The sequence below is a fragment of the Homo sapiens genome, chromosome 1, assembly GCF_000001405.40.
Source record: "Homo sapiens chromosome 1, GRCh38.p14 Primary Assembly".
Lineage (NCBI taxonomy): Eukaryota > Metazoa > Chordata > Mammalia > Primates > Hominidae > Homo > Homo sapiens.
The window spans coordinates 1,793,961-1,820,012 of record NC_000001.11 but is presented as its reverse complement, the minus strand read 5'-3'; the positions used below and the strand labels follow the sequence as shown (position 1 = coordinate 1,820,012).

The window sequence follows — 26,052 nt, the reverse complement described above, 5'->3', positions numbered from 1 at the left end:
GCAGTGAGCAGTTTGCCCCAAAAGCCTGAACCGCTGGGAACTCGTCCTCCACCTTCCCCATGTGGGGCACTTGGACGCACGCCTGTAAGGGCTGCACATGCCATTTGCCATTTTGAAAGTAGATGGTCAGATGACAGCATATAAACACATTTTTCTTACTAGAAAGTGTCAGCTGGGCATGGTAACTCTCCCCTATAATCCCAACACTTTGGGAGGCCAAGGGGGAAGGATCATTTGAGCCCAGGAGTTCAAGACCAGCCACAGGCAACATGACGAGATCCCCATCTCTACAAAAAAAAAAAAAAAATTAGCCGGGCATAGTAATGCATGCTTGTAGTCCCAGCTATTCAGGAGGCTGACGTGGGAGGGTCACCTGAGCCCAGGAGGTCGAGGCTGCAGTGAGCTGTGATGACATCACTGCACTCCAGGCTGGGCAACAGAGCCAGATCCTGTCATAAAAATAAATAAATACATAGTTTAAAAAAAAAAAGAGGCCAGGCGGGGTGGCTCACGCCTGTAATCCCAGCACTTTGGGAGGCTGAGATGAGCGGATCACCTGAGGTCAGGAGTTCTAGACCAGCCTGGCCAATATGGTGAAACCTCATCTCTACTAAAAATACTAAATTAGCCGGTGTGGTGGCACACGCCTGTGGTCTCAGCTACTCAAGAGGCTGAGACGGGAAGAATCACTTGAACCTGGGAGGCGGAGGCTGCGGTGAGCTGAGATCGCGACACAGCACTCCCGCCTGGGCAAGACAGAGCGAGACTCTGTCTCAAAAAAAAAAAATAGTTGTGATTAAAAAAAAAATTATACCAACACTCAAACTTTAAACCTGTTAGCCATTGTCTTATTTTCCTTCATGTTACGTACCTTTCTATTTCTAAACGTACGTTCTCTTTTGAGATTTCCAGGTCTATTTTCTAGTAACTTTGATCCCTTAGTAATGAAGACACTTGAGTTAGCATTGGTGGATCCCTTCACAGTGCCTACCTGCAGCCGCAGGTCATTTGTAGATGAGCAACGAGAACAGCCAAGAGGCTCATGTACATCTGATTGTCTGGCTCCAGGTCCCTTGCTCGTTTTCCATAGAATTTATTTATTTTTCTTTGTTTTCCTTTATTTTATTTTATTATTATTTTTGTTTTTTTTGAGATGGAGTCTTGCTCTGTTTCCCAGACTGGAGTGCAGTGGCGCAGTCTCGGCTCCCTGCAACCTCCGCCTCCCGGGTTCAAGTGATTCTCCTGCCTCAGCCTCCTGAGTAGCTGGGATTACAGGCGTGCGCCACCACACCCAGCTATTTTTTGTATTTTTAGTAGAGATGGGGTTTCACCATGTTGGCCAGGCTGGTCTTGAACTCCTGACCTCAGGTGATCCACCCACCTCGGCCTCCCAAAGTGCTGGGATTATAGGTGTCAGCCACCACACCCAGCCTATTTTCCTTAAATTTTTAATTTTTATTTTTAGTAGAGACAAGGTCTCACTTTGTTGCCCAGGCTGGTCTTGAACTCATGGGCTCAAGAGATCCTCCTGCCTCAGCTTCCCAAAGTGCTAGGATTACAGACGTGAGACCGCGCCCTCCATAGAATTTAGAATTAATGATTGTTTCTCTTGAAAACAAAGTACTTAGTTAATGCAGTCTGAAGAAAAGTTTTTTTGGGCTGGGTATCTGGTCCTTTTTAGACTTTTTTTTTTTTTTTTTTTTTTTTAATAGACCTTTTCTTTGGGCCACAGCCTTCCTGACCCTAGATGGGCTTTGTAAAAAGAGCAAGTCGTGTGTGCCAGCCTGTGCAGCAGTGAGGGCACAGGCAGCACCAGGGTCCCGGGTGTGTGGGTGCTGCCCCAGCTTGCAGTGTGGTCTCCTCGGTGCTGGCCACAGCTGTGGGTCCCCAGGAATATTGTGCTGCAGGTCTTAGACAGATTTGGGTACTACTGGTTCTCTGTTCAGCGTGGCCTGGACAGTCCACAGATGGTAGTAGACCATGGGGTGTTGAGATGCAAGGAGACTCTGCCGTTCTTTCACATTCTGCTTTTGCTCCTGACAGCTTAGGAAAGCTCTCTTTGAAACTTTGGTATGTGTGGACCTGAGATTGAATGTATCTGAAAGGTTGCTAATTTCTCACTGTCCTTGCTTCCCAGGACGCCAGGAAAGCATGTGCAGATGCAACTCTCTCTCAGGTAAGAGCCCACTGAGTCACGCAGAGCCATCTGCCTGTGAGGAGGCTAGCACGGCACCCACACCTGGAGCCTCGGGAGGGCTCTGCTTGCATTCTCTGTTGCGCAGTGAGGATGCCAAGCCACTGCTTTTATTAAGAAGTCATTCTGATGGTAGGCATAGGAAATAGAGGGGCTTATTGAGATAAAAATGAGATATCTCAAGCCTTGAATAATCATCTACCTGTTACAGAGGGTAATAGTTGTAAAATATTGTTATTGTCTTAAGATATTTTGAAGCTCCTCTCCTCAACAGAATCTGCCTCAGAACTTCTATTTCTAATATCCAATTTGATAATACCTCAAAAAGTTAAACATAGAATTATTGTATGACTCAGCAGTTCTGCCATTAAATATATGCCCAACAGGATTGAACACTGCTTTTCAAACACACACATGTACATAGCAGCACCATTCACAATAGCCAAAATGTAGAAACAACCAAAATGTGCATAAATGAATGAGTGGAGAAACAAATTGTGGTGTCTCTGTGCCCTGGAGTATTATCAGCCATTAAATGGACGTCAGTACAGTCAGAGGCTGCAACGTGGATAAACCCCATAAATATTACGATAGTGAGAGAAGCCAAACAAATGGCTATGTATTGTTTAGTTCTATTTATATGAAATATCTAGAATAGTAACATTCACTGAGACAGAGTGGACTAGTGGCCAGCAGGGGTGTTAGGGGAGAGAGGGAGAGGAAGTGAACAGGGAGTGACTGCTGAATCAATGTCTGGTCTCCTTTTGGAAGATGGTTTGGAACTAGATGGTGGCAGTGGTTTTACAACAATGAGTGTACTAAATGCCACTGAACTGTAGACTTTAAAGTGATTAATTGGATGTTACGTGAACTTCACCTTATTAAAAAAATGAAGTCCATCCCAGCACTTTGGGAGGCCGAGGCAGGTGGATCACTTGAGGTCAGGAGTTCGAGACCAGCCTAACCAACATGGTGAAACCCTGTCCCTACTAAAATACAAAAATTAGCCAGGCATGGTGGCACACACCTGTAATCCCAGCTACTCAGGGGGCTGAGGCAGGAGAATTGCTTGGACCCGGGAGGCAGAGGTTGCAGTGAGCAGAGATCGCACCACTGCACTCCAGCCTGGGAGACAGAGCGAGACTCCATCTTAAAAAAAAAAAAAAAAAAAAAAGATAATAAAAATAAAGTCCAAATAATTGGACAGAAATGTGAAAGAAAAACTATATTCCTACTTCTACTGAAGATGATTAAGTTTTTTACATTGTCTAAATGCTTTAGGGGATGTGCTTTAATTGAGGTTAAATTGTAAGTTAAAGAAAAAAAAATTAGGCTACATAGAATTACCTGAATTTCAATTCTGAGAAGCACTTTGGACTGTCCGTTTTTAAAACCCACTATTGTAATCCACTTACTCCGTTTGCCAACCTAAACTCATTAACATCAGTGTCTATATGTAGGATGGGCTCAGCAGGTGTGTGTACAGCTGGTGCTCCAAGTGATGGTCGTGCAGAAGCAGGTGTCATGCAGGCCCACACATAGCCTGACATAGGAACCAGCTATTAAATTGTGGTGTGGGACATCTGTGTGGTGTCATAAGAAGAGTTGCGAGATCTCAAAGAACTCAGAGACCTAGGAGGAGATGGTCCTGGATGGACAGGGAGAGGAGGAAGGAAGCAGGAAGGGAACAGCAAGTGCTTCAAGGCTGGCCATGTTCGTGTGCGTGCATTGGAGGGCAGGGCACACAGGTTCCTGATGACCAGCCAGACTGAGACTTGGTAAGAGGTACGGAAGGGGTTCAGTGCAGAATGCCACAGTGGAAGCCACTGGAGAACTGTGGGAAGGGCTGGGAAGAGGTAGGCACAGTGGGCGAGCCAACAGCCTTGACAAGGATGGGTGATGAGGAGAATCGTTTAATCACAGATGTTGATTTACAGAAATGTTTTTATTTTCAAGATCACAAACAACATCGACCCAGTGGGAAGAATCCAAATGCGCACGAGGAGGACACTGCGGGGGCACCTGGCCAAGATCTACGCCATGCACTGGGGCACAGACTCCAGGTAGGCGTGGGCATGAGCAGGATGCTGCTTGTTACATTCAGGGGCTGCTCTGTTGTCCTAGGGGAAAAGTACCTGAACCCATTTGCTGTGCTGTGCAGTGAAGAAATTAGGAAGTTGAATCAGAACTCTGGGCACGCAAGGTGCAGCGTTCACAGGTGCATATTCCCTGTCCAGTTTTCCACTTACCTGGGCTGAAAGAACACTGCCATTTCTTCACTGTCTGAATCACATTAATACAAGTTCTGATTTTTCTTTCTCCCTTCTCCTGTCTCTTTCAGTTTCTAGACCTCTGTCTTCCCAGTTCTACTGCATCCTACTTATGTGAACTTGGGGAAGTTACCTCTCTGTGCCTGTTTCTCAGGGCTGGTTGGCCCTCGCCCTCTTGTGATGTCAGTGCCCTGGCTCAGGAAATCACAGAACCTGCCCCGAGGATCCTGAGGGATTAAGTGTATTGAGCCTTAGAACAGCATTGTGCTGTGTGTGCTTTGCTGCGGCAGACACACGGGAATGCGCTGTGAGCTGCTCTCACCATTCTCTCATCTGGCCTGTCTGCCCTGCCTTCCTTTGGTTTACCATCCCAAGAGATAATTCCCTTCATGGGCTCCTATTTGTTCTTTTCTTTTCTCTTTTTTTTTTTTTTTTTAAAGACGGAGTCTCACTGTGTTGCCCAGCCTGGAGTGCGGTGGGGCAATCTCGGCTCACTGCAAGCTCCGCCTCCCGGGTTCACGCCATTCTCCTGCCTCACCCTCCCTAGTAGCTGGGACTACAGGCGCCTGCCACCACACTGGCTAATTTTTTTGTATTTTTAGTAGAGATGGGGTTTCACCATGTTAGCCAGGATGGTCTGGATCTCCTGACTTCACGATCCACCCGCCTCGGCCTCCCAAAGTGATGGGATTACAGGCGTGAGCCACTACGCCCAGCCTCTTTTTTTCTTTTTTTTTTTTTTTTTTTTTTTGAGACAGGGTCTCACTCAGTCATGCTGGAGTGCAGTGGTGTGATCATATCTCACTGCAGCCTCGACGTCCTAGGCTCCAGTAACCCTTCCTACTCAGCCTCCCAAGTGGCATAGGCCACAGGCATGTGCCACCATGCCTGGCTAATATTTTTTGGTTTTTTACAGAGACAGGGTCTCCCTTTGTTGCTGACACTGGTCTCAAACTCCTGGCCCCTAAGTGATCCTTCCACCTCAGCCTCCCAAAGTGCTGAGATTATAGGTGTGAGCCACCACCACTTCTAGCCTATTTCTTGTACTTTAAATTATACCCCTTTCTTCTCCACCAGGCATCTCCCTTCCGTGACCCCACACTCTGATTTAGAGGCTATTACAAAGTCTTATTTGGTGCCTGTTCTATCTAAATAATTTAATAAAGTACTGTTTGATTTGTGTAACTGTGACATGCTCGTTGAAGCACCTGACATAACAATTTTTAACATGCCCTTCTTTGAGTAGTATTTCTTTGTATTCCGTTGTTAGCGTGGAATTTTCTGCTAGGCTTTTTCTTTGTTCGTGAAATTGTCCGCTTTAGAGCACAAACAGCTAGAGAACAAAAGATTCTATCTTTAGTTTGTTCTATATAGTATCCCATACAATTCCCCATGCAAATGAGAGCTCGCATGATGGTTCCAATGACAGCAGGAGTCAGAAAGAATAAAAGTGGGAAGGGGGAGGGTGGGGAAGTGGGGAGATGATATTCTGAGGGTACAGAGTTTTAGTTAGGAATAAATTTTAGAAATGTGCCACACAGCACGGAGAGTAGTTCATAATAACGTGTGTTTCAAAATTGTTAGTAAAGTAGACTTAAGTGTTCCCACCACAGAGCAAATTGGAAGTGATGGGTATGTTGATTAGCTTGATTGATTTATTTCACAATGTGGATATATATCAGAATATCACATTGTACTCCGTAAATATACATATAATTACTTGTCAAAAATTCTTTTAAATATTCAAAATAAATAAGTAACCAGGCACATTGGCTCATGCCTCTCATCCCAGCACTTTGGGAGGCCAAGGCAGGCGAATGGCTTGAGCCCAGGAGTTCAAGATCAGCCTAGGTCACATGGCGAGACCCCTTCTCTACAAAAAGTACAAAAATAAGTTGGTTGTTGTGGTGCGCACCTGGAGTCCCAGCTACTTAGGAGGCCGAGGTGGGAGGATCACTTGAACCCAGGAGTCAGGGAAGCAGAGCTTGCAGTGATTCCAGATCACCCCACTGTGTTTCAGCCTGCACGGCAGAGTGAGACCCTGTCTCTAAATAAATAAGTAAATAAGTAAGAATATACTTTGTGAATTCAAAGTTATTCCTTTAAAAAATTAAAAAGAATTTTTTAAAAAATGTTCTGGCTGGATGCAGTGGCGCACACCTGTAATCCCAGCACTTTGGGAGGCTGAGGTGGGCGGATCACTTGAGGTCAGGAGTTCGAAACCAGCCTCCTGGCCAACATGGCGAAACCCCATCTCTGCTAAAAATTTAAAAATTAGCTGGGCATGGTAGCTGTAGTCCCAGCTACTTGGAAGGCTGAGGCACGTGGAGGTTACTGTGAGCCGAAATTGCACCACTGGGTGACAGAGTGACACTGACTCAAAAAAAAAAAAGAAAAAATGTTGTTACTAGTCTATCTATGTTAGAATTTATTGTCAAAAGTAGATGGAAAACAAAACAGTATGTTACCTCTGGGGCCTTTCCTCCATGTGTGGGAACACTGATGTGCAGATTAGGCAGGTTAGTGGAGTAGACAGTGCTGCTGCTGGGCAGTGTTCAGGTACTCAGAGCACTGCACTGCCAAGTAATATGTCTCCTTCACCAGCTGGGCTCTGGACTGGGTAGTCTGGAAGGGATGAGAGTGACCTGCAGGCAGGTGTGTTCAGGGACCGAAGAGATGGGTGTGTGAACTGAGCAGTGGAGGTGGGGCTGGGGGCTCAGGGTGGGTGGGGTGGGCGCCAGATCCTTGCATGGGAGGCTTTATGTTCCGTCTGTCTCAAACACACTTTGTGCCTTGAAAGCCCCAGGATTAGAAGGAAGAAAAGCAAGGGCTGACAAAACAGGACCAAGTGCAGAATCATGGCCACCCTGTGAGCAAGGCGGTCTTCAGTGAGGCCTGTGGGAGGCTGGGGTGCCACATTGGTCCATGTTCTTGGACAGGGTGCTAGGTGCATGGCATTTGTTGTATAATTGCACAGTCATGAGAAAACCAAAATGATATTATGGAGAACCTCTGCTTTTCAGAGCCTTCTAGAGATTGCTTGTTGTAAATAGCCGTTTTTTTCTGGATAGGCCAGTGTTTGCCTCTTTAAGGTCCAAAAGAGGTTTTTTGGGGGGAGGGTGTGTGTGTGTGTGTGTGTGTATGTATGTGTGTGTATATATATACATGTATATCTATATCTCCTTGTTCCACAAGCTTTTTTTTTTTTCTTTAAGTTCTAGGGTACATGTGCACAATGTGCAGATTTGTTACATAGGAATACATGTGCCATGTTGGTTTGCTGCACCTGTTAACTTGTCATTTACATAGGTATTTCTCCTAATGCTGTCCCTCCTCCTGCCCCCCACCACATGACAGAGTGGGGAGGGTATATATTTTCTTTAATCTTCATATTTCCTGCCTTCATAAACAAATGTTATTGCTTGTTTTTCATGACTTAAAGCTATAATTTATGAATACCAGTTTTTTTGGGTTTTTTTTTTTGAGACGGAGTCTCGCTCTGTCACCCAGCCTGGACTGCAGTGGTGCGATCTCGGCTCACTGCAAGCTCTGCCTCCCAGGTTCACGCCATTCTCCTGCCTCAGCCTCCCGAGTAGCTGGGACTATAGGCGCCTGCCACCACGCCTGGCTAATTTTTTTGTATTTTTAGTAGAGACAGGGTTTCACCATGTTAGCCAGGATGGTCTCGATCTCCTGACCTCATGATCTGCCCACCTCGGCCTCCCAAAGTGCTGGGATTACAGGCGTGAGCCACTGCGTCTGGCCTATGAATACCATTCCTTTAACTGTGTTTGTTTGATTTATGGACACTCGGAAACAGTAGAAATGACTACTAATTTGTCTTTCTGTTTTTTTGAGACGGAGTCTCACTGTCGCCCAGGCTAGAGTGCAATGGTGCTGTCTTAGCTCACTGCAAGCTCTGCCTCCCAGGTTAACACCATTCTCCTGCCTCAGCCTCCCGAGTAGCTGGGACTACAGGCACCCGCCACCACGCCCGGCTAATTTTTTTTGTCTTTTTAGTAGAGACGGGATTTCACCGTGTTAGCCAGGGTGGTCTCGATCTCATGACCTCGTGATCCGCTCGCCTCGGCCTCCCAAAGTGCTGGGATTACAGGGGTGAGCCACTGTGCCCGGCCTAGTTTGTCTTTCAAAACTACATGAGGCTAGACGCGGTGGCTCACACCTGTAACCCCAGCACTTTGGGAGGCCAAGTCAGGTGGATCGCTTGACTTCAGGAGTTCGAGACCAGCCTGGCTGACATGGTGAAACCCCATCTCTACTAAAAATACAAAAATTAGCCAGGTGTGGTGGCGAGTGCCTGTAGTTTCAGCTGCACTCAAGAGGCTGAGGTGGGAGAATCGCTTGAACCCAGGAGCTGGAGGTTGCAGTGAGCCAAGATCACACCACTGCACTCCAGCCTGGGCAACAGAGTGAGACTCCATCTCAAAAAAAGAAAAAAAAAAAAAATATATATATATGTATATATATACCCACAAACATGCGCATTGCACTCCCGCCTGGGTGACGGATGGAGACTCTGCCTCAAAAAACAAAACAAAACACAAATAAAGCTACATGAGAGGCCAGGCACCGTGGTTCACGCCTATAATCCCAGCACTTTGGGAGGCTAAGGCGGGTGGATCACCTGAGGTCAGGAGTTTGAGACCAGCCTGCCCAATATGGTGAAACCCTGTCTCTGCCAAAAATACAAAAGTTAACTAGGCTTCATGGTGGGTGCCTGTAATCCCAGCTACTCAGGAGGCTGAGGCAGGATAATCGCTTGAACCCAGGAGGCAGAGGTTGCAGTGAGCCAAGATTGCACCACTGCACTCCAACCTGGGTGACAGAGTGAGACTCTGTCTCAAAAAAACAAACAAAAAAGAAAACTACATGCAAGGCCCACAATGATTACTTGTTATGTATGTATGTATTAATGTATCAGATGTACATTTGTAATATGTTTATCAATATATTTGTACTAAAAGGCAACTTTTTTTTTTTTTTTTTTTTTTTGAGACTGGGTCTCACTCTGTCGTCCAGGCTAGAATGCAGTGGTGCGATCCTAGCTTACTGAAGCCTTGAACTGCTGTGCTCAAGCAATCCTCCTGCCTCAGCCTCCTGAGTAGCTGGTACCACAGGTGCACATCACTGTGCCCAGCTAATTTTTAAAAAATATTTTTTGTGGGCCGGGCGCGGTGGCTCAGGCCTGTAATCCCAGCACTTTGGGAGGCTGAGGTGGGCGGATCACGAGGTCAGGAGATCGAGACCATCCTGGCTAACTCAATGAAACCCTGTCTCAACTAAAAATACAAAAAATAAGCCAGGCGCGGTGGCAGGTGCCTGTAGTCCCAGCTATTTGGGAGGCTGAGGCAGGAGAATGGCATGAACCCAGGAGGCAGAGCTTGCAGTTAGCCGAGATCCTCCAGCCTGGGTGACAGAGCGAGACTCCATCTCAAAAAATATATATATATATTTTTTTGTGGAGACAGGGTCTCCCTTTGTTGCCCATGTTGGTTTCAAACTCCTGGACTTAACCAATCCTCTTATCTCAGCCTCCCAAAGTGCTGGGGTTACAGGCATGAGCCACCACCCTCCCTCCTTTGAGTAAAATGAAGGGCATTAGGTGTTTTGATTTTTGACAGCTACTTTCAGGGTCCTGGAGCCTGTTAGCTTGCTTCCTGGCCCTTGCCTCTATGTTCTAGGTGAGTGGCACCTCAGATAATTGATTTTTGAGTAGGTAAAGGCACTACTAGGCAACGTGAACCCAGCTTTCCAACAGCTCCCTGACCCGGGACTAGGAGGCATGTCTTCTCTCACCTTCTGGAGGATCAGTGGACAGCTTACGTGTCCCTAATCCCTCTGGAAGTCAGCAGTTATTAAGCTCTCTGACCGGGAGACCTCTGTAAAGGTGATCCTCCTAATCTAGGAGGATGAGCTGCTTTAGATCAGCTCTGATACTCGACAGAAAGTCTCAGAAGGGCTGGGCAGAAATAAAGCTAGAGTGGGAACATGATACCATTACGTAGAAATAATTTTAAATGTTTAATATGTTGATGACAACCTGGATTGAGAAGTTTGCTTTAAGAATTGCAACTGAAGGCTGGGTGCGGTGGCTTACGCCTGTAATCCCAGCCGAGGCAGGCAGATTGAGCTCAGGAGTTCGAGACCAGCATGGCAAAACCCTGTCTCTACTAAAAATACAAAAAAGTAGCCAGGCATGGTGGTGCACACCTGTAATTCCAGCTAATGGGAAGGCTGACGCACGAGAATTGCTTGCATCTGGGAGGCAGAGGTTGCAGCGAGCTCCAGCCTGGGTGACAGAGTGAGACTCTCTCTCAAAAAAAAAAAAAAAAAAAAAATTGCATCTGAAAAATAATAGGATGGGAGCCTGCACTTAGTTTTTAGTTCTGTGATAAATTTTGTAATAAAGTGCAGGTGAAAAGGTTTTTATTTGTTCTTAAACTCATTGACACCTGTATCAAAACATCTAGTTTGATATTAAAAGTGTCAGAGTTATCAACAAAACTTGAGAGAGCGTTACTCCAGCTTTAGGTCAGCTTTAAGAAGCCACATATGTTCACAGCTGAAATAGTTAAAACCTGTGTTTTGAGGCGCTGTGGCTTATGTCTGTAATCCCAACACTTTGGGAGGCCAAGGTGGGCGGATCACTTGAGGCCAGGAGTTGGAGACCAGCCTGGGTAACATGGGGAAACCCCATCTCTACTAAAAATACAAAAATTAGCCAGGTGTGGTGGCACGTACCTGTAATCCCAGCTACTTGGGAGGCTGAGGCATGAGAATCACTTGAACCCAGGAGATAGAGGTTGCAGTGAGCTGAGATCACACCACTGCACTCCAGCCTGGGTGACAGAGCGAGACTCTGTCTCAAACAAACAAACAAACAAAAACAAACAAACAAAAAACCTTGCGTTTGATAGAAACTTTAAAATTAAAAATCCTTATACTATCATTTACCGTACTGACAGATATCCCTGCATCAAACAGTGGAACCTTCTTGCTCTTCCTTGAAAACAGCATTCTGTGCTACAGGGTTCCTTAGGACCTCTCATAAGCAACTGTGGTTCCCAGGAGTTACCTTTCACCCACCTTACTTGCCTGCTAAGGTGAAATTCTTTTGCTCCTTATTCATATTCTCCTTTGTAGTATGGAGCTCCTTTTCAACATGTGGATTCCGAACTGAGCACAGTTGCCAGAGCAAGGAAATAGTTATGAAAAAATTCATGGTCGGGCGCAGTGGCTCAACGCTTGTAATACCAAAACGTTGGGAGGCCGAGGTGGGCGGATCACCTGAGGGTCGGGAGTTCGAGACCAGCCTGATTAACGTGGAGAAACCCCGTCTCTACTAAAAATACAAAATTAGCTGGCTGTGGTGGCGCGTGTCTGTAATCCCAGCTACTTTGGAGGCTGAGGCAGGAAAATTGCTCAAATCTGGGAAGTGGAGGTTGCGGTGAGCCGACGCACCATTGCACTCCAGCCTGGGCAACAAAAGCAAAACTCCATCTCAAAAACAAAAAAAAGAGGCCGGGCGTGGTGGCTCCCGCCTGTAATCCCAGCACTTTGGGAGGCTGAGGTGGGCAGATCACGAGGTCAGGAGATCGAGACCATCCTGGCTAACATGGTGAGACCCTGTCTCTGCTAAAAATACAAAAAGAATTAGCTGGGCGTGATGGTGGGCGCCTGTAGTCCCAGCTACTCGGGAGACTGGGGCAGGAGAATGGCATGAACCCCGGAGGCGGAGCTTGCAGTGAGCCGAGATGGCGCCACTGCACTGCAGCCTGGGCCACGGAGCGAGACTCCGTCTCAAAAAAAAAAAAGAAAAAAAGAAAAAATTCGTGATAGTTACTGGTCTCTGCTCCCGGACCATGCGCAGTGGTGCTGTTGTTTACCAAGCAGGTGAGGAGGGAACGCCTCCTTTGGTTTCTAGGAGACCTTGATTCCAATTTTAGCTCAGTCTGGGAAATTTCATGGGGTATTTTGGGTGAGAAATGTTTCATGAATTTGGAATGTCTAAAAGTGGTTTGTTCTTTCTGTTTGTTTTTTTTTTTTTTTTTTTTTTTTTTTTTTCAGTCAGGATCTCGCTCTGTTGCCCAGGCTAGAGTGCAGTGGCGCAATCTTGGCTCACTGCAACCCCCGCCTCCTGGGTTCAAGCAGTTTTCCCACCTCAGCCTCCTGAGTAGCTAGGATTACAGGCATGCACTACCATACCCAGCTATTTTTTTGTGTTTTTGTAGTGGAGACGGGATTTTACCATGCTAGCATGAGGCCATGCTGGTCTCAAACTCCTGTGATCCACCTACCTTGGCCTCCCAAAGTGTTGGGATTAAAGACATGAGCCTCTAATTTGATTTGTAATGAAACCAAACAGAAACACTTATGAAATGATGTCAGCCTGTCTCAGCTGACAAAGGGAATGGGTGCCAGGGGTGATGTGGCCTGCATTCGGTTGGGGCCAGGCATCTCCACTCTCAACTGTGGTCTGTGACAGTGTTTTTGTTCATGCTTTGAAGTTGGTCTGACATTTAGAGCCTTCCTTTCCTTTCTTTCTTTCTTTCTTGAAACAGAGTCTCACTCTGTTGCCCAGGCTGGTGTCCAGTGGCATGATTGTGGCTCACTGTAACCTCCGCTTCCTAGGTTCAAGCGATTCTTCTGCCTCAGCCTCCCGAGTAGCTGGGATTACAGAGACGCACTACCATGCCCGGCTAATTTTTGTATTTTTAATAGAGACAGGGTTTCGCCATGCTGGCCAGGCTGGTCTTGAACTCCTGACCTCATGTGATCTGCCCACCTCAGCCTCCCAAAGTGCTGGGATTACAAACGTGAGCAACTGTGCCCGACCAGAGATTTTTTTTCTTATAAATAAGTGGCTTTGTCTGAAGCACATGTAACATGGGAGCACATAAGCCACCAGAGTCTGGGTTTTAGTCTGTTGCTCTTGTACACTTTCTGTGTTGTGCGGTACTGATAGGTTTGCTTTTGTCTGTCCCTCCAGGCTTCTCGTCAGTGCCTCGCAGGATGGTAAACTTATCATCTGGGACAGCTACACCACCAACAAGGTAGGGACTGGAGGATTCCCTTCCTTGAAAAACCAACCCAGGAAACAGGGTTTTAAGCTCTGGATTCATTTTGTTAAATCACGTAATACAGGATAGGGAAGGCAGCAGCGGCAAGCTCTGTTTGTTAGTAGTGAAGTTGCGCAGGTGAGATAGAAGCTGAGTCACGTGCCACCTGTCACGGTCTCTTCCTCTGGACCAGGCACAGTTGTGCTGTTGTCCGTCATCTCCTTACCAAGCTGGTGGGAGCTAAGGACCTTCTGTGTTTCTAGGAGACCTCAATTCCAGTTTTAGCAGAGTCTGGGAAGTTTCATGTTTTATTTATAGAGTGCAGAAGTATCACTTTTCATTCAGTTACAAGTTTTTAGAAGAGATCATCTGAAAGACATCATACTTTAAAGTGTAATTTATGTTATTTTCAAGACTTAATCCAAAGTGTATTGTTTTGAATAAAAAGTATTGTCATTGGTCCAAACATGTATGTAAAAGATGTAATTCAGTTTATTTTACTAAAGAATACTAAATGTGTATAAATGATTGCATTAATTACAGCAGATCTAAAACAGTGGGAGAGATGTGGCAGGGTAGATTGTAGGAATGTCCATTTTGGTTATTCCATAAAAATCTTTTGTTTTCGGCTGGGCGCCGTGGCTCACACCTGTAATTCCAGCATTTTGGGAGGCTGAAGCAGGTGGATCACCTGAGGTCAGGAGTTTGAGACCAGCCTAGCCAACATGGTGAAACCTCGTCTCTACTAAAAATACAAAAAATTAGCCAGGAGTGGTGGCAGGCGCCTGTAATCCCAGCTACTCAGGAGGCTGAAGCAGGAGAATTGCTTGAGCCCAGGAGGCAGAGGTTGCAGTGAGCCTAGATCACGCCACTGCACTCAAACCTGGGCAACAAGAGCGAAACTCCATCTCGAAAAAAAAATTTTTTGTTTTCAGATGAGTTCATAGCCATTTGACAGGATAATGCAGTGTTTTCCTTCCAATACGTGTGGGTTTTTTTGTGTTTTTGAGACGGAGCATTGCTCTTACCGCCCTGGCTGGAGTGCAGTGGCGTGATCTCTGCTCACTGCAGCCTCCACCCCCCTGGTTCAAGCGACTCTCCTGCTTCAGCCTCCTTGAGTAGCTGGGATTACAGGCGCCCACCACCACACCCAGCTAATTTTTGTATTTTAGCACAGACAGGGTTTCACCAATTTGAGGCCAGGCTGGTCTCGAATTCCTGACCTCAGGTGATCCACCCGCCTTAGCCTCCCAAAGTGCTAGGATTACAGGCATGAGCCACCGCACCCGGCCTGTTTGTTTTCTTTTGAGACGGAGTCTCGCTCTGTTGCCCAGGCTGGAGTGCAGTGGCGTGATCTCAGCTCACTGCAACCTCCGCCTCCCGGGTTCAAGTGATTCTCCTGCCCCAGTCACTCAAGTAGCTGAAACTACAGGCATGCGCCATCACGCCCAGCTAATTTTGGTATATTTAGTAGAGACATGGGGTTTCACCATGTTGGCTAAGCTGGTCTTGAACTCCTGACCTCAGGTGATCTGCCCGACTTAGCCTCCCAAAGTGCTGGGATTACAGGCGTGAGTGACCGCACCCGGCCTAATGTGGTTTTGATGAGTGGGCAGCACTACTGTTAAGACTCCACCTAATCATAAGTTGTGACTTCAGTAAAACTGGACTGTGTGGATTGAATTTGAATCCCATGTGCAGCACTGGACTTCTCATTAAGTATGCTTCACCTGAGTGGCCACATATGGGAATCGCTCTCTAGATAATTTTGGCTCTTATTTTGTTCTGTTACCTCCTTTGCAGTGAAAGTTGGAGATGAGAAAATCCTGGTGTCAGTGTTGTTTTTGAACATAAAGTTGTTTGCATCATCTGTCTTTCTGTCATTAGGTCCACGCCATCCCTCTGCGCTCCTCCTGGGTCATGACCTGTGCATATGCCCCTTCTGGGAACTATGTGGCCTGCGGTGGCCTGGATAACATTTGCTCCATTTACAATCTGAAAACTCGTGAGGGGAACGTGCGCGTGAGTCGTGAGCTGGCAGGACACACAGGTACCTGTCCTTGTTCATAAGCTTCAAGTGACACAAGCTGTTTACCTGGGGTACATTATATGCTTTGGATACTCACTTTTTATCAATCATTTTTTAATTAATTAATTAATTATTTTTTTTGAGGCGGAGTCTCGCTCTGTCACCCAGGCTGGAGTGCGGTGGCGTGATCTCGGCTCACTGCACGCTCCGCCTCCTGGGTGTTCACGCCATTCCCCTGCCTCAGCCTCCTGAGTAGCTGGGACTACAGGCGCCCACCACCACGCCCAGCTAATTTCTTTTTTGTATTTTTAGTAGAGACAGGGTTTCACCGTGTTAGCCAGGATGGTCTCGATCTCCTAACCTCGTGATCCACCCACCTCAGCCTCCCAAAGTGCTGGGATTACAGGTGTGAGCCACCACACCCAGCCTTTTTTTCTTTTTTTTTTTTTTTTTTTTTAAAGACAGAGTCTCACTATGTCACCCAGGCTGGAGTGCAGCAGCGCATTCTTGGCTCACTGCAACCTCTGATTCCTGGGTTCAAGCGATTCTCCTGCCTCAGCCTCCCAAGTAGCTGGGACCACAGGTGTCCGCCACCACGCCCAGCTAATTTTTGTATTTTTAGTAGAGGCGGGGTTTTGCTGTATTGGCCAGGCTGGTCTTGAACTCCTGACATTGTGATCCGCCTGCCTTAGCCTCCCAAAGTGCTGGGATTATAGGCGTGAGCCGCTGCGCCCGGCCTTATGAATCATTAAATGAGACTGGTTCAAATAAAAGTCACAGTAATGGCCAGAAGTTTTCTGAAAATGAAACTAAAAACAAGCCTGATATGCCTTTACCAGTAAGAAACCTGTGGATTTGCGCTGGACATGGTGGCTCATGCCTGTAACTGCAACACTCTGGGAGGCCAAGGTAGGAGGATAGCTTGGAGCCAGGGGTTCGAGACCAGCTGGGGCAACAAAGCTAGACCCCTTCTCTACAAAAAATGAAAAACAGCCACGCACAGTGGCACACAACTATGGTCCCAGCTCCTCAGGAGGATGGCTCAAGCCTGGGTGGTTGAGGCTGCAGGGAGCTATGATTGCACCACTGCACTCCAGGCTGGGCGAAAGCGAGACCCTGTCTCTGCAAATGAGGCATAATAGAGCCCTGTGGCCGTAAGTGCTAGGTAGTCTATTATTTCACCAAGATTTTATTTACTTGTGACACTAATTCATCATGAAAGGCATACATTTGCTGAAAGAGGATGTACTATTCTAATATTTTACCTCTCTGGCTGTATTATTTGTTCTCAGACATTTTATGCCCCAGTACTTTTTGATAACACTCCGCCCACTTCACATGCAGCCAAAGAAATCAGTTCATGGAGTCACTAGTACTACAGTTGACACCCATTAAGCAGTCTGTTAAATAAGTTAATTTTGGCCAGATTACAAGTTTAACCTTGTCCTTTGAAAGATAATGCTGCTGCTGTTGTTGATTTCTGTTCTCTGTTCTTTTCTGCCTTCTGCTTACTTTGGAGTTGCCTTCTTAATTTTCCAGCTACCTGAAGTAGATCTGTAGGCCACTGGTTTGCTTCCTTTTCAAATAGAATCACTTAAAGTTTTAAGTTTCCCTCTAAGCATGGCTTTAGCCACATCACACACATTTGTTTCATATTGTCTTTTTTTTTTTTTTTTAAGATGGAGTCCTGCTCTGTCACCCAGGCTGTAGTACAGTGGTGCAATCTCAGCTCACTGAAACCTCAACCCCCTGGGTTCAAGCGATTCTCCTGCCTCAGCCTCCCGAGTAGATTACAGGCGTGCACCACCACGCCTGGCCAATTTTTGTATTTTTAGTAGAGACGGGGTTTTGCCATGTTGGTCAGGCTGGTCTTGAACTCCTGACTGCAAGTGATCTGCCTGCCTCGGCCTCCCAAAGTGCTGGAATTACAGGCTTGAGCCACCACTCCCAGCCTATATTGTATTTTAATTATCATTCAATGTGAAATTTTTAATATCCTTGTGAGTGCTTATTTGACTTATAGGTTATTTAGATGTATAATTTTTACATATCTGAAGTTTTCTTAGTTATTGTTGATTTCTAATTAGATGTCATTGTGCTTAAAGACACACTTGGTATCATTTCAGTCCTTTGACATTTGAGGCTTGTTTTTAATGGAGCTGATGGTCTGTCATGGTGGCCGCGCTGTGTGCACATGGGAATGATATGTGTTTTTGTTGTATCTCGGCCTGATTTTCTACATACATGTTAATTAGAGCAAGATTTTTGGCATGTTCAAATATTCTGTGTCTTTCTATGAAATGCTCATGCAGGGCTGTTAAAATGATTATGGATTTTCTAACTTTCCTGTTAATTCTGTCAATCTGTGCTTCAGATATCTTGAGCTCTTTTAGTAGATGCCTTTACATTTGTTGTCTCTTTGTGATTAATTGACCCTGTGACCCTGCTCTCATGATGAACTGTTCTTTCTCACTCATAATGCTCTTTGTTGGGAACCGCTGCTTTTTCTGATACTAATGTAGTCAGTCCTGCCTTCATGGGGGTCCTTTCAGCTTAACTGTGTCTTTGAAAATAGTCTGTTACAGACCTCGCATCATTGTTGGGTCTTGGTTTTTTCTGCCCGCCTTTGGAATATGCTTTTGCACATTTATATTTCTTATTGTAACTCTGCTACTTTGCCACCTTTTTGTCCCTTCATTTTTGTTTTTTGGTTGTTCCCTTCCTACCTTCCTTTGAGTTACTTGATTACAGGCATGAGCCACCACGCCTGGCCTGGGTTACTTGATTTTTTAAAGAAATCTATTTTACTTTGTCTGTGGGCTTTGTAGGTAAACCATTTTGCCTGATGTCTTAGTGGTGTCTTTAGGGATTATAGTGTACATTCCCAATGTCTCGCGGTCCTCTAGTTAACTTGGTCCTAGTTGATAGGAAACGTAAGGAACTCACAGCCACACGGGCCTGCTGTCTGCCCTTGCTCACTCTTGTGGTTTTCATATGCATCACACCTGTGTGTGTTATTAGCTCCATGATGCATTGTTGTATTCTTTACTTTAAACATTCTTAAGAAATTAGGGGTCTTATAATGTGAATAAATATGAAAAGCATGAAATAGGCTGGGCATGGTTGGCTCACGCCTGTAATCCCAGCACTTTGGGAGGCCGAGGCAAGCAGATCACCTGAGGCCAGGAGTTTGAGATCAGCCTAGCCAACATGACGAAACCCCGTGTCTACTAAAAATAAAAAAATTAGCCAAGCATGGTGGCATGCGCTTGTAGTCCCAGCTGCTCAGGAGGCTGAAGCAGGAGAATTACTTGAACTGAAGCGGAGGTTGCAGTGAGCTGAGATCACGCCACTGCACCTCCAGCCTGGGTAACAGAGTGAGACTCCGTCTCAAAGAGAAAAGAATGAAGTAAATCTACTCTGCCCTCCAGAGAGATCTTCCATGTCCAGTGCCCTTCCCGCTCTCCTGCAAAGGCGCCTTCTGCGGGCGTCCTTTCGGCCGGGAGCCCTACCCGGAACAAGTCATGGTTAATGCAGTTCTCAGGTCTGCTGCTAGCAAAGCACTTAGTGTTCATTTCTCTAAGATTTATATTTTGCCTTTATTCTTGAAGGGTATTTTTGCTGGATATCTAGAATTATGGGTTGACTCTTTTTTTAATTTATTTTTCTTTTTTTTTTTTTTTTTTAACAATCTAAAGATTTGGTTTTTAGCAGTTTGCACGTAGGTGCCTCGGTGTGATTTTCTTTGCATTTATTGCACTTTGGCATCTTGAATCTATAAATTTGTCTTTCACCAAATTTGGGAAGTTTTAGACCATGTCTTCAAATGCATCTTCTGTCCTTAGTCCCTGCCCCTCTGTGCTGCAATACACACGCATCTGTGCTGTCCCCGAGGCTCAGGGGGCTGGGGTTTGTTCATCACTTTCCCACTTCTTCAGATTTGTTCCTTTTTGTTGTTGTTAGCACCACTTACTTGCTTTTAACCTTTTTATTTCCATTCAAGTTCATGTACTTGTTACCTCTGATAAACTAAGGCTATCCAGCAGGTTCTTTATGTCAGATATTCCTTCTGCAGTTGTAGAGTTTCTATTGCTTTTATTTAGAAATTTTTTATTTTCCTGCTGAGATTCCCTGTCCTTGTATAATAGCATGTTTTATTTTGCATCCACAAGGAGAGTTTAATAGCTGCCTTTAGAGTTCTTGTCTGCTGATCCCAGCATCTCATCTTCCTGAGGTTGGTCCTTGTGGATCTCTCCTCTGGATTCTGAGTGACATTTTGCTATTTTTTTAGTACATGTAGTAATTTCAAATTGTATTCTGGACATTGTAAATGTTGTGTCATAGAGACTTTGTGTCCGGTTACATTCTCCAGAACTAACTGATGTTTAGTGTCATTGTATCAGGCAGTCTATCTCTGTCTTTCTTGTGTGGCAGCAGCAGAAACCTCTGTTCAGCTTTTCTGCGCTGGCTGGGCTGCATGCCTGTGCACTTCAGGTGTCGGATATCTGGTCAGCCGTGTGTGTAGTTTGGGACTCCCTTTCTGTGGCTTTCTTCTTTGTAGTTGTTATCCTTTCGCTTTCTGGCTGTGGTTGCCCAGTAATCTGTCTACTGGCTCTTGAAGACCTTGGCCACAGGTCTTGTGTGTGAGGCTGTAGCCCTGGGGTTGTCACAGACAGTCCCCTCCTCAGAGAAAGCTCCTTAAGAACAAACCATGTCCTGCCTTTCTTTTCTCCCAGGGGAGACTCCTCCAGTTTCTACCTGCTCCTGTTTTCATGCTTTCAGGTGTTTCGTTTTGTAGTTTGTGCAGTGCTTATAGTTGTTTCTGTGAGAAGGTAATGCCTACAGATAGGAGCCCCTGGCCATCGCTGGGAGTCCAGCCAGGCAGCTCACACTGACCCTGTAAACCACACAGCTCTGTCTGACGCAGCACCCTTTTTGGAAAGGTGTTCTCTATGTTCAGCAGTCCCTTCCCATGACCGTCAGAGTCTGTGCATCTGTTTCCATTGGTAATCAAAGGTTGCTGGATTTAACACTGACTGTATTTGTCTTTGAAACCAAAGAAAGAAAAGCCAAAAATACTCAAGAAAATAAAAAAACTGGTATTAGTAGGAATATTTTAGAAATTTTATTTCCTTCATATTTCATGAAATTTTACTTCTAAGGAGTTGTGTTATTTAAAAAAAACACACACACACATTTGGCCTCTTAAGAGTGTTTGTGGGCTGGGCGCGGTGGCTCACGCCTGTAATCCCAGCACTTTGGGAGGCCGAGGCAGGCGGATCACGAGGTCAGGAGATCGAGACCATCCTGGCTAACACGGTGAAACCCCATCTCTACTAAAAATACAAAAAATTAGCCGGGCGAGGTGGCGGGCACCTGTAGTCCCAGCTACTCAAAAGGCTGAGGCAGGAGAATGGCGTGAACCCCGGGGGGCGGAGCCTGCAGTGAGCCGAGATCGCGCCACCGCACTCCAACCTGGGCGACAGCGAGACTCCGTCTCAAAAAAAAAAAAAAGAGTGTTTGTGAGTCTGGGTGACATAGGGAGACCCGCCTCTACAAAAAATACAAAAACTAGTTGGATGTGGTGGCATGCACTTGTAGTCCCAGCTACTCGGGATCCTGAGGCAGGAGAATCACTTGAACCCAGCAGGCAAGGTTGCAGTGAGCTGAGATCGCTCCACTACACTCCAGCCTGGGCAACAAGAGCGAAACTCCGTCTCCAAAAAAAGCTTATTTCCAGCCCTCTGATCCAGTCTCAGATTTTTATCAAAGCAGATCCCTAAGGGCCAATGCAGGGAGACTCAACGCTTGCTCTTAGAGCTTTGTTCTTTGCATACCTCTCGGGCAGTGGAGACACGGCGGCCCTTGCCTGGATCATTCTGATCAAGATGGCTACAGATACATAAGCATTGATCAGAAGTCCAGCCTAAGGCCTTCATGATACAGCGTGCACAGCTGTCAGTGACAGAGCCCACTGTGGTGGCCAAAACTTGGCATTTTTAGGCACGGTGTCTTCATATAGTGAGAAGCAGAACATTTTCTATATTCATGAAAATAGCGGATTTTTTTCTGACAGGCCTCACAAGCTTGGACACAGAAGGGGATATATGTTGTCTCCCCGTAAACCCTGCTTCAGGAGCCACAACAGGGCAGCTGGTGACTGGGATGTCTGCTTGAGGCTCACTGTTACCAGCCCCAGTATCTTGGCTGCACTGGTGGGCCTCACAGCCTCACACCATCATGGAGGCACTCATGGTGCCCGGGCACTCCTCTGTGCAACCCTCTGAGCCTCACTTTCACATCTTCAAGTTACTTCCTCATCTCTTTCATTTTCCTTCTTACTGAACTTGAAGAAAACACCTCTGCTCTCCAAGTGCATGCCTCGGTGCAGGGCTGGGCACCTTTCCCTCCAGGTCTAGGCTGAGCCTGTCCCTCGCCAGCACGGTCTTGTTTTTGCTCCTTGGAGCCGATCCTGGGGCGGCACAGGTGCTCCTGAAACCACCTGTCGGAGGAGGACTAGTGAGGGACTGGGCGTGGTCATGGCTGACTTCTTGGCATTTGCCCGCCTGCCTTTCAGTGTGTCCTGTGCGCCTCCCTTGGGTGGGGTCTCCTTGCCCCTGCTCCCAACAGGGATGTTCTCCAGGGTGCAGGTAGGAGAACTAAACCTTTCAAAGTGTGTTCATTGTAGAAATTTTGGAAAGGGGGCTGGGCGCGGTGGCTCATGCCTATAATCCCAGCACTTTGGGAGGCTGAGGCAGGTGGATCACCTGATGTTAGGAGTGCAAGACCAGCCTGCCAACATGGCAAAACCCCATCTCTACTAAAAATACAAAAATTAGCTGGATGTGGTGGCAGGTGCCTGTAGTCCCAGCTACTTGGGAGGCTGAAGCAGGAGAAGTGCTGAACCGGGGTGGCGGAGGTTGCAGTGAGCAGAGGCCGCACCACTGCACTCCAGCCTGGGTGGCAGAGCGAGACTCCATCTCAAAAAAAAAAAGGAATTTTGGAAAGGAACTTTGAATCATCATCTTTTATGTTGGGAGACCCTATAATTCCATCCAGAAATACAGTATTATACAATAGTTATGCAGTAGTATTATACAGTATTATATAACTATAGTATTATACTGTCGTTCTGTAACTCAGGAGCTGTAGAGAGTTTCATGGTGTGGTGCACTAATTTGTTCCTATTGTGAGACATTTAGGCAGTTCACAGTTTCCCACAATTTATTATAAACATTGCTGCAGCAAACGCCATCCTTGTAGATGGATGGTTTCTCAAGCCCATCGTCCCGTTCTTGGGTAAGTTTCCTCACAGGGCTGCATCTGGCCACGCTTGTGTGTCCTTCTTGGCTTTGCTGTCTTTGGGTCGGCAGCCATGCTGGGTAGAGCAGTGTGTGCACCCATGCTGTGCTCTTCCCAGAGCCTGGTGATCTGCTCCTTTCTAGACTCTGGACTCACTCTATCCTTGAGGCACCTCTGCTGACACCACATGCCCAGGAGCCCATCTTTCTCCTACGCTTCCACTCTCTGCCGTGCCTCTCTTCAAGCCACCCCCTCTCTCCTGGACTTTAACAGCCTTGTCCCTATAGCCAGTGGTCCCTATGAGACACAGGACAGCCCTTCACACCCACTGCCTATATGACCAGACCACTGCGAGGTCCCCAGGCCGCGTTTCAGCCTCTCCTTGAGGCACTTGGTGCCACCTTTGTGCCCTTGCACCTCCTCACTGGGTGCACACTTTTGTTCAGGGTCTGTTTTCCCTGCCCCTCTGCAGGCTTCCAGAGGGTGGCAGCACAGGCCCCCGCACCAGGGGAGGAGGGGCGTGTTTTCACCTGAAGTGTCCCCCCACACATACCCAGGGAATTTGTTCAAATTCAATAATAACAGAAATAGTAACTGTCTCCATTTACTGAGAACTTCTTATGTGCACAGACAGCTCTGCTCCTCCCATCAGTTCCCCAGTTACATGGGGAGGCTGGGACTTCTAAAAGAACTTAGAGGAATTTTCACTCTTCCTCAGCTGCCATGCTGACAGTGGAGCCCAGGTATTTCTGATTTCAGAGTCTGCAGTCTTCACCACTCGTGGCCTCTTGGCCAGAAGGCCCTACGAGGCTTTCCTGGAAGAAGGGGTTAGACCTGGTCTCTGTTCACAGACTGGGCCTCATGGAGTATGCTTGCACCCTGGGCATTGCACCACCCATCCTGCTCTCCAGCCGCACTGGACACACCTCACCCCCCAACCTGAACATGCACAGACACTTAGAGTGGCCTCTGGTTGGGCAGAACCATCTAACATAATACATATCTTATAAGAAAAAGTTGAACATCTCATGTAAATTATTGGACACTCCTGAAAATGAAAACACAGAATAGTTGTATGGGTACTTGGAGCATGGTTTTCCTATTAAATGCGTGTGTCTTTCAAACCATCATAAAGTCACAAAATTGTAAGTCAGGGGCCATGTGTGGCTTATACATTCGGTCATTCCCCTTGTCCTTCATAGTTCCTGTCAGCTGATGCTTGTCCACATCATTTTATCAGCGCTTGAGAGCTGTGATTTTAGGGTTCAGTCTCTGGTTCTTGGAGTAAGAAGCTGATGGATTCTGTGTAGCTTCACTACAGCCTGCACAGGGTGGGACAGAGAGGTCATCTTTGAGACCTATGAGGTCATGTTTTTTGTTTTTTTGAGGCAGAGTCTCACTCTGTTGCCCAGGCTGGAGTGCACCGCTGTGAACTCGGCTCACTGCAACCTCTGCCTCCTGGGTTCAAGCGATTCTCCTGCCTCAGCCTCTCGAGTAGCTGGGATTACAGACCCAGCACCCACCACCACAGCTGGCTAATTTTTATATTTTTAGTAGAGACGGGGTTTCACCATGTTGGCCAGGCTGGTCTCAAACTCCTGACCTCAGCCTCCCCAAGTGCTGGGATTACAGTCATGAGCCACCGCGTCCAGCCAAGGTCATGATTCTTTCATGCAGTAAACTTGGGAGTGCCTCCGCCTGGTCCCCTGTGTGAGATGCAGGCTGTGCTGAGGTCTCCATGACTCTTCTTTCCTGCCCTTCTGTGCTCACATTCAAACAGGCTAAGTGCTACAAGGCTCGGTGGCCTGGTCTGGATGGGCATCTGACGGGGTGGGGGTGCTTCCCTGAAGCAAGGGTGAGTGTGAACCAGGAAGCCAGTGGAGGAGGGCTCGGGTGGAGACCCGGGAGCATGACAGTGAGCTGCGGGGCACGACAGCAAGCTGCAGGGCACTACAGGGGGCGCCAGGTATGCAGGGCTATCCTCCTCTGAGCTGGACTTGGGTTCACCTTTGTGGTCCCTAGTGTCCCTGTGGTGTGGCCTCCAGGAAGTATTTGACCACGCATACTTTCGTAGGCACGTAGTTAATATTTTGAGCTCTGTCATCTATGCATATTTTTCTTCTGTCAGAGCCAGTTTAATAATGTTTGTTGGCCAGGCATGGTGGCTCACGCCTGTAATCCTAGCACTTTGGGAAGCCGAGGTGGGTGGATCACAAGGTCAAGAGATCAAGACCATCCTGACCAACATGGTGAAACCCCATCTCTACTAAAAATACAAAAATTAGCTGTGTGTGGTGGCGTGCACCTGTAGTCCCAGCTACTTGGGAGGCTGAGGCAGGAGAATCGCTTGACCTGGGAGGTGGAGGTTGCGGTGAGCCGAGATCACATCACTGCACTCCAGCCTGGCGACAGCACGAGACTCTGTCTCAAAAAATAGTGATAATAATGTTTGTTAAATAAATGCTTTGTTTTCTCTGTAATCTTACACTTTCTACATTAAAACCCCAGTGGGTTTCTTCTTTTGGTGCATTTTATTTTTGTTGTTTGCTGATTCACGCAGTGTCGCATGACTCCCTGGGGTGTAGTTGGGGGGAAGGCTTTTCAGTAAACACTCAAATCTAAACAGGTATCCCAAGAATCACCAGTGCCACTGGAACCCCTGAATCTTCAGATTAGGGCCAGTCTGTCACCAATCCTGGGCACACACTAACTGGTTTGTTGACCCTATGCTTTTAGTTCCACAGTAAATACCAGAACTGTGATCAATGTACAAAAGAAATAATGGTCAACAGAAGTCATTAACAACTTGAACTGCCGGGTTCAAATGATTCTCCTGCCTCACCCTCCTGAGTAGCTGGGATTACAGGTGCCCGCCACCACGCTTAATTTTTGTATTTTTAGTAGAGACCAGTCATCATGTGTGGATATTGCGGACTGATTTTTTGTTGTTGCTTTTCCTCATTTTGGAAGTTGTTTAGGACGGGGCATCTTGGTGTGTCCTGCTCTCGCCTCTGATGCTTCCTTCCCAGTGGGAGTGGGTGGGAATACTCAGAGACACAGAATTGTGCCCACGCTGATGTGGGTGTCACAGCCACTGTCCCCAAGAAAACAAACCCACCCACACATATTCACGAGCACCCCCGTGTCTGCAGTGTTGCTGCCATGCCGCGTTCCTGT

General features: G+C 46.8%; 1 protein-coding gene across 34 annotated transcripts in view, besides 3 other annotated features; it reads left to right on the top strand.

Moving 5' to 3' along the window:
* GNB1 (G protein subunit beta 1) overlaps window positions 1–26,052 on the top strand; it is a 105,802-nt gene that overhangs the window by 71,075 nt on the left and 8,675 nt on the right. For 28 of the 34 annotated variants that reach the window (XM_017001061.3, NM_001282539.2, XM_017001060.3 and 25 more), the window contains 4 exons: window positions 2,138–2,176; window positions 4,151–4,257; window positions 13,475–13,538; window positions 15,432–15,594. In XM_017001061.3, the coding sequence (XP_016856550.1) occupies window positions 2,138–2,176; window positions 4,151–4,257; window positions 13,475–13,538; window positions 15,432–15,594 (373 nt within the window). The remainder of the gene's footprint in view (window positions 1–2,137; window positions 2,177–4,150; window positions 4,258–13,474; window positions 13,539–15,431; window positions 15,595–26,052) is intronic. The other 6 variants (XM_047418078.1, XM_047418076.1, XM_047418072.1 and 3 more) reach the window with 2 other exon arrangements.
* Window positions 20,382–20,431: an enhancer, noted in NCBI's record as "active region_39". NCBI's record gives its function as "activates an Ori minimal core promoter by ATAC-STARR-seq in GM12878 lymphoblastoid cells {active_cell/tissue: GM12878}" and the evidence as "EXISTENCE:reporter gene assay evidence [ECO:0000049][PMID:35858748]".
* Window positions 21,755–21,804: a silencer, noted in NCBI's record as "silent region_91". NCBI's record gives its function as "represses an Ori minimal core promoter by ATAC-STARR-seq in GM12878 lymphoblastoid cells {active_cell/tissue: GM12878}" and the evidence as "EXISTENCE:reporter gene assay evidence [ECO:0000049][PMID:35858748]".
* Window positions 21,845–21,954: an enhancer, noted in NCBI's record as "active region_38". NCBI's record gives its function as "activates an Ori minimal core promoter by ATAC-STARR-seq in GM12878 lymphoblastoid cells {active_cell/tissue: GM12878}" and the evidence as "EXISTENCE:reporter gene assay evidence [ECO:0000049][PMID:35858748]".